At 43.3% G+C, this 12,753-nt stretch overlaps 1 protein-coding gene across 14 annotated transcripts in view; it reads left to right on the plus strand.

The window, feature by feature from the left end:
• The window catches only part of WDR93 (WD repeat domain 93), a 53,291-nt gene that overhangs the window by 29,335 nt on the left and 11,203 nt on the right, over positions 1–12,753 (plus strand). For 10 of the 14 annotated variants that reach the window (XR_931869.2, XR_931870.1, XM_011521794.3 and 7 more), the window contains 5 exons: positions 2,373–2,457; positions 7,475–7,646; positions 9,341–9,411; positions 10,001–10,087; positions 11,761–11,880. Coding sequence is in view for 12 of the 14 variants with exons in the window: in XM_011521794.3 (XP_011520096.1) it covers positions 2,373–2,457; positions 7,475–7,646; positions 9,341–9,411; positions 10,001–10,087; positions 11,761–11,880 (535 nt within the window). In the remaining 2 variants the exon portion in view is untranslated. Of the gene's footprint in view, positions 1–2,372; positions 2,458–7,474; positions 7,647–8,101; positions 8,470–9,266; positions 9,412–10,000; positions 10,088–11,760; positions 11,881–12,169; positions 12,251–12,753 lie in introns of those variants that run through there. The other 4 variants (XM_006720618.2, XM_006720615.2, XM_011521802.2 and 1 more) reach the window with 4 other exon arrangements.

Here is a 12,753-nt window from a genome sequence, read left to right on the forward strand (position 1 = left end):
TTCCCTATTGTTTTTCTGTTTTCTATCTCACTGATTTCCAGTTTGTTTTTATTATTTCCTTTGTTCTGCTCACTTTGGGTTTAGTTTCCTCTTCTAATTTCTTTCTTTCTTTTTCTTCTTTTTTTCTTTTTTTTTTGAGATGGAATCTCGCTCTGTCACCCAGGCTGGAGTGCACTGGCATGATCTTGGCTCACTGCAACCTCCGTCTCCCAGGTTCAAGCAATTCTCTGCCTCAGCCTCCCGAGTAGCTGGGATTACAGGTGCCTGCCACCACGCCTGGCTAATTTTTGTATTTTTAGTAGAGACGGGGTCTCACCATCTTGGCCAGGCTGGTCTTGAACTCCTGACCTCGTGATCCCACCTGCCTCAGCCTCCCAAAGTGTTGGGATTATAGGCCTGAGCACTGGGCCCAGCTCCTCTTCTAGTTTCTTAAGGTAGAAGCTCAAATCATTGAGATCGTCTTTTCTGATATAGGCATTTAATGCTATACACTTGTATCTAAGTACTGCTTTAAAATTTGATTTTTTTATTTTCATTCATTTCAAAGTACTTTATAATTTGCTTTTGTATTTCTTCTTTGACTAGTAGGTTTTTATTTTTTTATTTTTGAGAGAGAGTCTCATTCTGTTGCTCAGACTGGAGTGCAGTGGTGCAATCTTGGCTCACTGCAACCTCTGCCTCCCGGGTTCAAGCAATTCTCCTGCCTCAGCCTCCCAAGTAGCTGGGATTACAGGCACATGTCACCATGCCCAGCTAATTTTTGTATTTTTAGTAGAGATGGGGTTTCACCATATTGGTCAGGCTGGTCTTGAACTCCTGACCTCGTGATTCGCCCGCCTCGACCTCCCAAAGTGCTGGAATTATAGGCGTGAGCCACTGCACCCAGCCGACTAGTAGATTTTTAGAAGTATGTTATTTAGTGTCCAAATATTGGAAATGTTACAGCTGGCTTTTTTTATGGGCTTCTCATAAAATCCGTTGTGATCAGAAAATCCATTGCGATCAGAAAACATACTTTATATATTTGAATCATTTTAAGTTTATTTAGATTTGTTTTATTCCCACAATGTGGATTATATTGGTAAGTGTTTATATGTACTTGAAAAGGATGTTTGAAGACCAATAAAGCTGTTATTGGTCAGGCTATTCAAGTTTTTCTCCTTTCTGTTTTTCCTTTTATATCCTTACTATATTCTTACTGATTTTCTGTTTACTTATTCTGTACTTATTGAAAAAGGAGTCTCTAAGATTGTAGATTTATCTTTTTCTTCTTTCACTCTTACGAATTTTTGCTTCGTGTATTTTGAAGCTTTGTAATTAGATGCTTAACAATTTGGAATGTTTTGTCTTCAGATGAATTGATTGTTTTGTCATTATTCACTGACCCTTTGATTCCTGATAATATTCTCTGTTCAGAATTCTTCTATGTCAAATACTAATATGGCCACCCAAGCTTTCTTTTGATTCATTTTAGCAAGATATATCTTTTTCTGTACTTTTATTCTTAACATGTTTGTGTCATTATATTTAATATAACGAGTTTCTTCTTTTTCCCTATGGTTTCAGATAGTGTTTCATAAAATGAGTTTCTTGGCCACATGTGGTGGCTCACACCTGTAATCCCATTACTTTGGGAGGCAGAAGCAGGAGGATCACAGGAGCCCAGGAGTTCAAGATCATCCTGAGCAGCATGGCGAGACCTCATCTCTGCAAAACTAAATTAGCCAGGTGTGGTAGTGCACACCTGTGAGATCCCAGCTATTCAGAAGGCTGAGGTGGGAGGATTGCTTAAGCTCAGGAGGTCGCTCCTGCAGTGAGCTGTGATTGTTCCACTACACTGCAGCCTGGGTGACAGAGCAAAATCCTGTCTCTCACACACACACGCACACACAAAGTTTCTTTTTGACCTCATATAGTTGGGTCTTGCCCTTTCTAAAAAAACTGTTTCAAAGATGGGCTCTCGCTATGTTGCCCAGGCTGGAATGCAGTGGCTATTCACAGGCACAGTCATAGCACATTGCCACCTCAAACTCCTGGCCTCAAGCGTTCTTCCCACTTCAGCCTCCAGAGTAGCTGGGACTACAAGTGTGTCACCATGCCCAGTAAGGGTCTAGCCTTTTTATAGAGTCTGACAATCTCTGCCTTTTCACTGGGGTTATTTAGACCATATACATTTAATGTGATTATTTATATGTTTGGGTTTAAATCTACAGTCTTGCTATTTACTTTTACAATCTTGCTATTTACTTTCTATTTGTCCTCTTATTTTTCTTTTTCCCCTTCTTTTCCACCTTCTTTTAAAATTAGTATTTTTAATTATTCTATTTCCTCTCTTCTCTTGGCTTATTAACTATGCCTTTTCCTTGTTTTAGGATGCAAATGTTAGTTTTAAAGGAGACATTAAATTGAGTCTTCCAGTTTACATAATGAAGATCAAACCACCTAAGCCTGTTACAGGTAAGTGTGATTCAAATCTCTCTCCTTTTGCCATTGATTTATCTGTTCTTTCTTCCTTTCCCCATGTCTTATCTTTTCAACTTATTAGCAACGATATCAAAATTACAAACATAGTTATGAAGAGGAAATTTTTTTTAAACCCATAAGCTCTGAGACATTAAAACAAAAAATGTAAGTAATGCATTTGTATTACATACAGTTAACTAACAGAATTGGAAGGTCAGGAGAAAAAGATATCTTTTCTGAATTGCCAGGTTGAGTTCATTTATTCCTACATTTCTGTGCTGATTCATTTGACTGCTAGTTGTAATACATTCATTCCTACATTCTTGTGTTAATTTATTCATTATTATTTGCTGAATGCCCATAATGCACCAAGCACAAAGATGAGTAAAACACCTCTCCTCTCCTGCACTCTAGAAGTTGATAGTCTACTAAGGGAGAATGACAAGAAACCACCATAGTAGGATGTGATAAGTACAGCAATGGGGACCATCAAGGGCTGTGAAAACTCAGGGTAAGAAGCGACTGACTTGCTAGGGAGTAAGGGACATTTGGGCACAGTTTCAAAGAAAGGGACTTGGTCAAGAGGAGCAGAGAGGCTAGCTATTGTAGGCGGCAAATACAGAGGATATCCTCTCAGCATTCACACATGATCACAAAGACATATCTATAAGAATGTTCACCCCTGGTGGACTAGTAGTTACGATTAAAAAAAAAAACCAGAAAAATGTTTACGGTAGCATTATGTACAGAGGTGAATAATTGGTTAAATAAAATCTGGGCCGTGTGCGGCGGCTCGTGCCTATAATCCTAGCACTTTGGGAGGCCAAGGTGGGCAGATTGCTTGAGCTCAGGAGTTCAAGACCAGCTTGGGGAACATGGCAAAACCCCACCTCCACAAAAAATACAAAAATTAGGCAGAGTGGCATGCACCTGTGGTCCTGACTACTTGGGAGGCTAAGGCAGTAGAATCGCTTGAGCCCAGGAAGCAGAGGTTGCAGTGAGCTGAGATTGTGCCATTGCACTCCAGTCTGGGAGATGGGAGTGAAACCGCGTCATAAATAAATAAATAAATAAATAAATAAATAAATAAATAAATCTGGTACACTCATACAAAAGAATACTTTGCAACCATTAAAAAAACAAAAGAGAGGCCAAGTGTGGTGGCTTAAGCCTATAACCCTAGCACTTTGAGAGGCCAAAGGAGGAGGATCACTTGAGCCTAGGAAGTTGAGGCTGTAGTGAGCTATGATCACACCACTACACTCCAGCCTGGTGACAGAACAAGACCCTGGTTCAAAATCAAGAACAACCCCCCGAAAAGGGAAATGCCAAAGGCGAAGAATAGACAATTTTCTCTTGTAAAAGAATGTGGTGGTCAGACTTGCTCTATCAATATTTATTATAAAGCTGCAGTTATTAAGATAAAAAATAGATAAGTGAATAATAGAAATATAGATGAAATATAGAAATATAGATAGATAGAAATAGCAGATAGAAAAATAGAGGAAAAATAGGTGAATGAAGCAGGATACAGAGACCAAAACAGACCCAGGCATAAATGGACACTTGATGCATTACAGAGGCAGCGCTATGGAGCTCTGGAGAAAGGGTGGCCATTTCAATAAGTGGTGGTGGCTGTTTATGTGGAGACAAAAATAAAACTTAACCCCTGCCTCATGTCGTACACAAAACTAAATTCCAGATGAACTGTAGAAGTAAATATATGAAAGGCAAAGCAGTAAAGCTTTTAGAAAATAAATATACTCTTCAGGCCCGGTGCAGTGGCTTATGTCTGTAATCCCAGCACTTTGGGAGGTCGAGGCAAGTGGATCACTTGAAGCTAGGAGTTCAAGACCAGCCTGGCCAACATGGCGAAACCCCGTCTGTACTAGAAATACCAAAAAAAAATAGCTGGGCGTGATGGCGTGCACCTGTAGTTCCAGCACTTTGGGAGGCTGAGGCAGGCAGATTGCTTGTGAGCTCAGGAGTTCGAGACCATCCTGGGCAACATGGAGAAACCCCATCTCCACAAAAAAAAATACAAAAATTAGCTAGGCATGGTGGCCTGTGCCTGTAGTCCCAGCTACTTGGGAGGTTAAAGCGGGAGAATTGCTTGAACCTGGGAGGCAGAAGTTGCAGTGAGCTGAAATCGCACCATTGCACTCCTGCCTGGGCGACACAGCGAGCGAGAACCTGTCTCAAAAAAAAGAAAAAGAAAATAATATAAACAATAACTTTATCACCTCTGGGTAGGGAAAGACTTTTCAAATAAGACACAAAAAGTACTTACAATTTTTAAAAATTGAATAAATTTGACTACATTAAAATTAGGAATTTCAGATCATTCAAAGACATCATTAAGAGGATGAAAGATCAGGCCACATAGAGGTAGAAGTTATTTGCAAAACACATAAAACCCACTAATGGTTCATGTCCAGAATATATGAAGAATTACTACAGATTCTTAAGAAAAAGAGGGAGAATCCAGTACAAAACATGCAAGAGTATTGCACAGGCTATTCACAAAAAAAAGATTATTTAAATGACCAATAAACATGAAAAGGTGCTCACCATCATTAGTCTGCAGGGAAGTGCAAATTAAAATCACAGTGAAGTAGCGTAACACATTCACTAGGATGGGTAAAATTAAAAAGACTGACCACACCAAGTGATGGTGAAGATGTGGAACAATCAGTACTCCCATACATTGCATTTAGCAATGAAAACTGGTACAACCACTTTGGAAAATGTGTTTGCTATTATCTAGTAAAGCTGACAATAATTTGTGTCCTATGACACAGTATTTACACTGCTAGGTGATAGGGTGACCAACCATACCAGTTTGCCTGACTGAGGGGTTTCCTGGGATGTGAGATTTTTCAGTGCTAAAACTAGGAAACTCCTAAGCAAGCCATTTTGAGTTAGTCACCCTACTTCTAGGAATGTACCCATAGATTTGCAAGCAAGTGTGTTCCAGGAAACATGTGCATGAATGGTGATAGTGACATGATTTTTAATAGCCCCAAACACAAAGCAACTAAATTTTCATCAGTAGTAGAACAGATAAATTGTACTATATTTATTCAGTGGGATACTATACAGCAATGAAAAATGAACAAACTGCAGCTACACACAGCAAAATGGATAAATCTCATGAACAATATTGAGCAAAAGAGGACAGCCATAGAGTTAATACTGCATGGTTCCCCTTATGTACAGTTTAGAATCAGGCAAAATGAAACTATGGTGTTGAGGACGCATGTTTAGGTGATAAAAGCATAAATAAATGCAATGAAGTGGCTACCATAAAGGTCAGGAGAGTGGTTGCCACTCTTCCCAGAGAATTGTGATTAGAAAGGGGCCCCTGGGAAGCTTCTAGTGAGATGGCAATGTTCTATTTCTTTTTTTTTTTCTTTTTTCTTTTCTTTTTTTTTTCTTTTTGAGACAGGGTCTCCCTCTGTCGCCCAGGCTGGAGTGCAGTGGCACAATCTCGACTCACTGTGACCTCTGCTTCCCAAGCAATCCTCCCACCTCAGCCTCCCAAGTAGCTGGGACTACAGGAACATGCCATCAGGCCTGGCTAATTTTTGTATTTTTTGTAGAGATGGGATTTTGCCATGTTGCCTGGCTGGTCTCAAACTCCGGGGCTCAAGCGATCCTCCTGCCTTGGCCTTCCAAAGTGCTGGGATTATAGGCATGAGCTACCGCACCCAGCCGATGTTCTATTTCTTGACCTGAGTAGATGATACCAGAGGTTTGCTTTATAATAACTCATTAAGGTATATTAAGGTATATATTTTATGCTCTTTTCAGAATGTATGTTACACTTCACAATAAGAAAAAGGTTTAATAACTAAAGATAAGCAACAATGAAGAGGATCTATAGTACTAATATGAAATAATCTCTAAAACATTTTAGTAAGTGAAAATACAAGGGGAATAATGTATAATAGCAATTCTCAAACTTTAGCTGCATCAGACTCATTTGGAGAACTCATTAAAACCCAGATTGTTTGCCTATAGTGCCAGCTACTCAAGAAGCTGAGATGGAAGGATTGCTTGAACCAAGGAGTTCAAGCCTAGCCTGGGCAATAGAACACAACCCCCATCTCAAAAAACAACCCAGATTGCTGGGCCCCACCACAGAGTTTCTTCTATTCCAGTAGGTCTGGGGTGGGCCCTGAGAATCTGTATTTTTAACAAGTTCCCAGGTGACTCTGCCACTGCTGATCTGGCATCGTCCTTTGAGAGCTAGTGTATCATACGATATTATGTGTTTATAAAACTGGTGTCTGCCTCTAGAAAATTATGCAGTTGTCTCTGAGGAAGCAGTCAAGGGCACTGTGGAATCTCCTGGGCAACTTGAGGGACGCAGGTACCTTCCAAAGTGAACAGAATTCTGAAACTCAGGGTGCAAATCCAGAAAACTAGTCATCCAGTTTTACTGTGGATTTAGGAACAGATGAAAAAGAAGGAAATGAAAGGTTATTGGGAAGAGAAGTAGTAAGAAAAGTGACTGACAGAGAAAGATTTTTTTAAAGGAAGGTAATTGGGTAAATGTTGGCATAAGAAGAGACTGAGACTGCCTAATTATGTGAGTGTTCAGCAGTGGCTGAAAAGTGATGGTAACTGGCAGATCTGGGGCCTTCCTCAGCTGGGGAGACAGGGACAGTGATCTAAAGTCTCCAGTGGCATTGTGAACATTTCCCTGCCCCACCGCCCCCCACACCCTGGCCTTTGCAAATATTCTGTAATCCAAAAGCAGAGAGAATGATGTTGGGATGAAGATACAGAAGAAGGAGGACAGCAGCTGCTCTCTGCCTGGGCTCTGTGAGCTGGTGGGGTACAGGAGAGGCCGGGAGAAGACTGAATACAGACCAATTGCAGAGCAAGAATCGATTTCTGAGGCTGAGGGATTCTGCAGGAAGCTGGGAAGAGTGGAAGAAGTAGGGGAAAATCAGGAAAGGGGGAGTCACATGGCTTGACTAATTCTGTAATATTTTCAACCTAGGCACCACATTCAAAAGCCCCCTGGAAGTCTTTGCAAAGATCAAGGACTGCTACGGACTGGGCTCCGGGCAGAATCATTTCATCAAGGACAGTCAGTGGGAGCAGCAAGCTGAGATCTTCAACGCTTCCTACAAGAAGTACCTAGATAGGGAGTGGGAGGAAGAGCCACTCAGGTGAGCCTCCTAATCCCGGGAAAGCCAGGGAGCATCCCCAGGCTTCTGCTGTCTTGGCACATGCAGGAATCAACCCAGGGACCTGAATTAATCTGAGATTTAAAAGCTCTTTCTGGGGCCGGGACAGTGGCCCACATCTGTAATCCCTACACTTTGGGAGGCCGAGGCAGGAGGATCATTTGAGCCCCCAAATCTGAGACCAGCCTGGGCCACATGTCGAGACCTTATCTCTAAAATAAATAAGCTCTTTCTGGTTTGGGAGAATTTTGAGCGAACATCAGCAGATATTTTGAAATGTTGTGTGGAGATTGTTACTATATAGTTAGAACAAAGGCTGATAATAATGGAGTTAAAAGAAGAAATAGATATCTATGGAAATGAGAAATATAATTTATTTCAGTTTTATACATGACAGCTCTAAAAATTTTTTTTTCTTTTTAAATTTTTTTTTCTAGTTATCTAAAAGCACAGAGGCTGGGCACGGTGGCTCAGGCCTGTAATCCCAGCACTTTGAGAGTCTGAGGCATGCAGATTACCTGAGGCCAGGAGTTTGAGACCAGCCTGGTCAACACGGTGAAACCGACTCTACTAAAAATACAACAATTAGCCGGGCATGGTGGCGGGCACCTGTAATTCCAGCTACTTAGGAGGCTGAGGCAGGAGAATCACTGGAACCCAGGAGATGGAGGCTGCAGTGAGGCGAGATCACGCCACTGCACTGTAGCTTGGACAGAGATAGACTCTGTCTCAAAAAATAATAATTAAAAAAAATAATAAAAAACACAGAAGATCCTAAAGACAAATAAAGTCACCACTACTAAAATTTTTCTCCATTTCCTTCCTGCCTTTCTAAATGTAATGTAGCATAGGTGTATAATTATTATAATATATGACTTTCCCATCTTGGTGAGCAGTTAGGTGTCATTAGCTCCAAGTTGTGTTGGAGAGCCCCAGTCTTTGAAGTATCAATGAGGGAGCTGGTTTTAGGAATTAGGTCTCCTCATAGCTACTGTGGATCTCAGGAATGTTCTTGTTCTCACATGGGAAGTGAAATCTCTCGTGCTGTCAAGTGGACCTTAAATTTTCTTACTTCAGGACACAAAGTCCTAAGGCTAATCCCTGACAACAGCTTCCTGTTACTGTCTGGAACTACGTCAAGATTCAGTGGTATGCTGGGGCTGGCTCCTACTGCATAGTGAGATAATTAGGGTTTTGCAAGCCAGTTGTTAAACCACTGTTAGTTGTCCATTGTGGGAGCATTGACACCATGAAAATCTGCAAACCCTATAAATTGGGGCCTCTTTTATTTAAGAGACCCAGTTATCAGCACAACACTGGCTGTATTGCCCCTGGGATAAGAGAACATCTATGTAGATCACCCGAGTCTGCTCTTTAAGGACATCTTCCCCAAAACAGAAGTGGCTCTCCAAAAGACAGCTGTCTCTGGCAAGAGCTCTGCACACCACACTGGCCTAGGAGTGATTCCCAGCCCCACCCAACCTGCCCTCACCAGCATCCAAGGTCAGCGCATCCCACCAGGACCAGCACCTAGAATGTGATGTGCTTCATGGCCTTCTTACCCCTGGGAAGGTCCATTCTAACTATCTATTCTGGTTTTAGGACCAAGACTCTGCCAGCAGCTCTCCTTGCCAGGGAGTCTACATGGCTCTGACTCGTGTGTCTTTCTTTCCCAGTACGGCCACCTTCTATTTCCTTCTTCCTAGCTGCCTATTTGCAATGCCACCGGAAGTCAAGGGCCCCTCAGGTAAATGAACATGAAGTGGGTGGTTGTCCTAGCAAGGAGTCACCTTGGGGAAACCCCTCAGCAAGCCCCCACAGAGATGTTCCCCAACAAACCTCGCATGGTAGGAGGGAATGAAGAGGGGAGTTTGGTTGCCAGCTGTAGCCTGTCAGTTTCTGCTTGCATCTGTGGCCCCTGAGCACAGGTTCTCTGATCACAAAGGCTGGCACTGCCTTCAGGGAGTGGTTGCCATAGGAGAAGGCATGAGCCCACATCCACCGGGCTGCTTCTGGATATGAGTTTGTCTTGTAGAAGATGTTACTTAAAACACTGAGGGTGTGAATTTTCTAGATGTGAAAGCAGCCGAGGGGGAGTTGAGACTGTCCTCCCTATGCAAGAAGGCGGGTGGGCCCCAGGAACAGCCCTCATGGGGCTGCCCAGTCCCTCTCTCTTGGGAAACTCACCCTTCTCTTGGGTGCTGCCCATTAAAACAAACCACTTCAGACTTCAAACCAGCTTCTCTTGGGCAAACACCTTCTGTGCAAACCAAAGGCCACCCAGATTTCCCCCTGTGTAACACCCATTTTCTGTCTTTCCCCCGCCCCCCCACCAGGAATGGCCTGTGTCCTTGGTATACACTGGACCAGAAGTCACAATTTCTTCCTGTATTCACTAAACCGAACTCTAAAGGATAAAGCTGGTACTTTACTGCTGAGATGGGAGTCGCCTAAGCTCAGGACTTGCAGACATGTCCTTCTCCAGCTTAGCTAAGAGCATGTGACTGACATACATCAAGTGTCACTTTAGGGACCAGATCTAGGCAGGCAGTAGGGGGTTTGGTGGGTGTAGTGTGACCGCAAGAATCTGTCTCTGAAATGTCATGTTCCTTAAAGACAACAGGTCAATAGGGACAAAGTCTACAGTCAGGTCCACAGGGCTCCTTAAGCAGCTAAGGTAAAAAGAGAGTAAGCTTGGCTGGGCGCAATGGCTCACGCCTATAATCCCAGCACTTTGGGAGGCCGAGGCGAGTGGATCACCTGAGGTCAGGAGTTCAAGACCAGCCTGGCCAACATGGTGAAACCCCATCTCTACTAAAAATACAAAAATTAGCCGGATATGGTGGCATGCGCCTGTAATCTCAGCTACTTGGGAGTCTGAGGCAGGAGAATCACATGAACCTGGGAGGCAGAGGTTGCAGTGAGCCAAGATCACACCACTGCACTCCAGCCTGGGTGACAGAGCAAGACTATCTCAAAAAAAAAAAAAAAAAAAAAGAGAGAGATTGAGAAAGTAGGCTTGGAATCAGAAGGTCAGTGCTAATCCTAGCCCAGCTGTCTGCAAACCATGTAGTCTCAGGCCAGTCGCTTCACACCCCAACCCACTTTTCATGCAGAACATAGAGCTAATTAATTACACCATTGTTGTCTAGTGCATGCGTTTGTTGAAAATAGCAAAATCCAGAGAGTTTCTGTATGTGAAGCTCTTCGAAATTGAAACGCACTAAGGAAATATAGGTTGTTGTTGTTTTACAAATTTATGGAGGTGACCAGGTGTGGTGGCTCATGCCTGTAATCCCAGTACTTTGGGAGGCAGAGGCAGGTGGATCTCTTGAGCCCAGGAGTTTGAAACCAGTCTGGGCAACATAGGAGACCCTGTTTCTACAAAAAATAGCCAAGCGTGGCAGCATGAGCCTGTAGTCCCAACTACTCAGGAGGCTGGGCCAGGAGGATCACTTGAGCCCAGGAGTTTGAGGCTGCAGTGAGCCAAGGTTGCACCACTGCACTCCAGCCTGGGTGACAGTGAGGCCCTGTCTCAAAAAAAAAAAAATTAATGGAAGCAGTCACATGAGCAAGTTTGCTTTGTGATAATTCCTTGAACTGTACACTTGTTATACTTTATATTACACTTCAAAAGTAACATTAAAAAATTCACAAAGGAGGAGTTTCTTTTCTTCCGTCCCTTTCCCAGGCAACCTGGCTTCTAATCTCCTTCTATACTGACTGTATGGCCTTGAGCAAGTCACTTCTCTGCCTCATCTATAAAATGGGGATACTAATAAGACTACTTTATAGAACCCTTGTGAGAATGCAATGAAATTATGTGTGTAAAGTGCCTAACACAGTATCTAGCACCTAGGACATACTCATTAAACATTAGCTGTAGAGTAATAATAAACAGTGTGACATTATCTTATCATCCTAGGCAAGGAGAATAGCACTTCATAAAGAGAAGGATGATGGTGAGTCCAGACAGGTGCTCCTGGTTCCCATTCCCTGAACAGGCAGACCAGTCTGAGTCACAGGTTGTCCAGGTAGAAGTGATGGGTAGGTGCAGAGTCTGGGGGAACCGGTTGAGTATTGTCCTTCCCCCTAGACCCCGAGGGTGTGTGGCCCTGTGCTGCGCCCATTGCAGTCTCTCAGCTCAGCTGCTCCTCCTCCTACCTGGTGCTGGCCTGCGAGGATGGTGTGCTCACGCTGTGGGACCTGGCCAAAGGTAAGTCCTCCCTGCCTCTCTACCTAGTACCTGGGTGGGACTCTGGGCAATGAGTCTGGGAGCTCTGGAATTCCCACAGGCCCTGGGCCTTCTGTTACCTCTGTGTTCTTAAAGTCACCTTGGGGAACTGGTCCTACTCCCCTCTCATTCATTTATTCAACAAACATTTATTGGATATAATATGTGCTAATGCTTCCCACTGCCCATGTGTTTATTGAGTGACTTCTCTGAGCCTGGCACTGTACTAGGCTCTGGAAGTATGATCATTGCCTTCATTATTACACTCCAGTGAAGAAGTATGTCTGGCACAGTACAAGTGATCATGGTGGCCTCAGCCTTCCTCTTCCCAGCCCCCAAGCTCTCTAAATAAGTGAGTCTTCTTCCCTGCTATTCTGTCTCATCCCCAGTCAGCGCAAACTCTATTGTATTAGAGCTAAGAGACCTATAAAGCAGTCAAAGTGAGACCAGCAGCTATTCTGGGTGGGTGGCACTGTGGTTGAGTTCTAGGGTCCTGGGTCCAGCTTTGCAGATACAGAAATCAATGATATTGCTTCCTAAATTCGTCAGCCTCTAGAGAAGCAGCTCCCTCTAACCGGACTTTGTTAAAGGCCAGTAATGACTCAGTGGTTTGCCATTTTGCAGTTGGAGATGTATTTACCTAGAGAGTGGAGGTGGGCCACCTTCACTGGGCAGCCCTCCTGGCAGGTGCAGAGCATCAGAGATAGTACCCTGTTTGTTGGGTAGCTTGTGATCAGACCAGGGAGTTGACTGTTCTCAGGGAGGTGTCTGTCAAGCTAGCAAATTGCCTTCCTCACTTGGCTATCACTTTCTGAAGAATGCAGTGGTTATTTCAACTTTGGAGGATATTTTCCC

Source organism: Homo sapiens, chromosome 15, assembly GCF_000001405.40.
Source record: "Homo sapiens chromosome 15, GRCh38.p14 Primary Assembly".
NCBI lineage: Eukaryota > Metazoa > Chordata > Mammalia > Primates > Hominidae > Homo > Homo sapiens.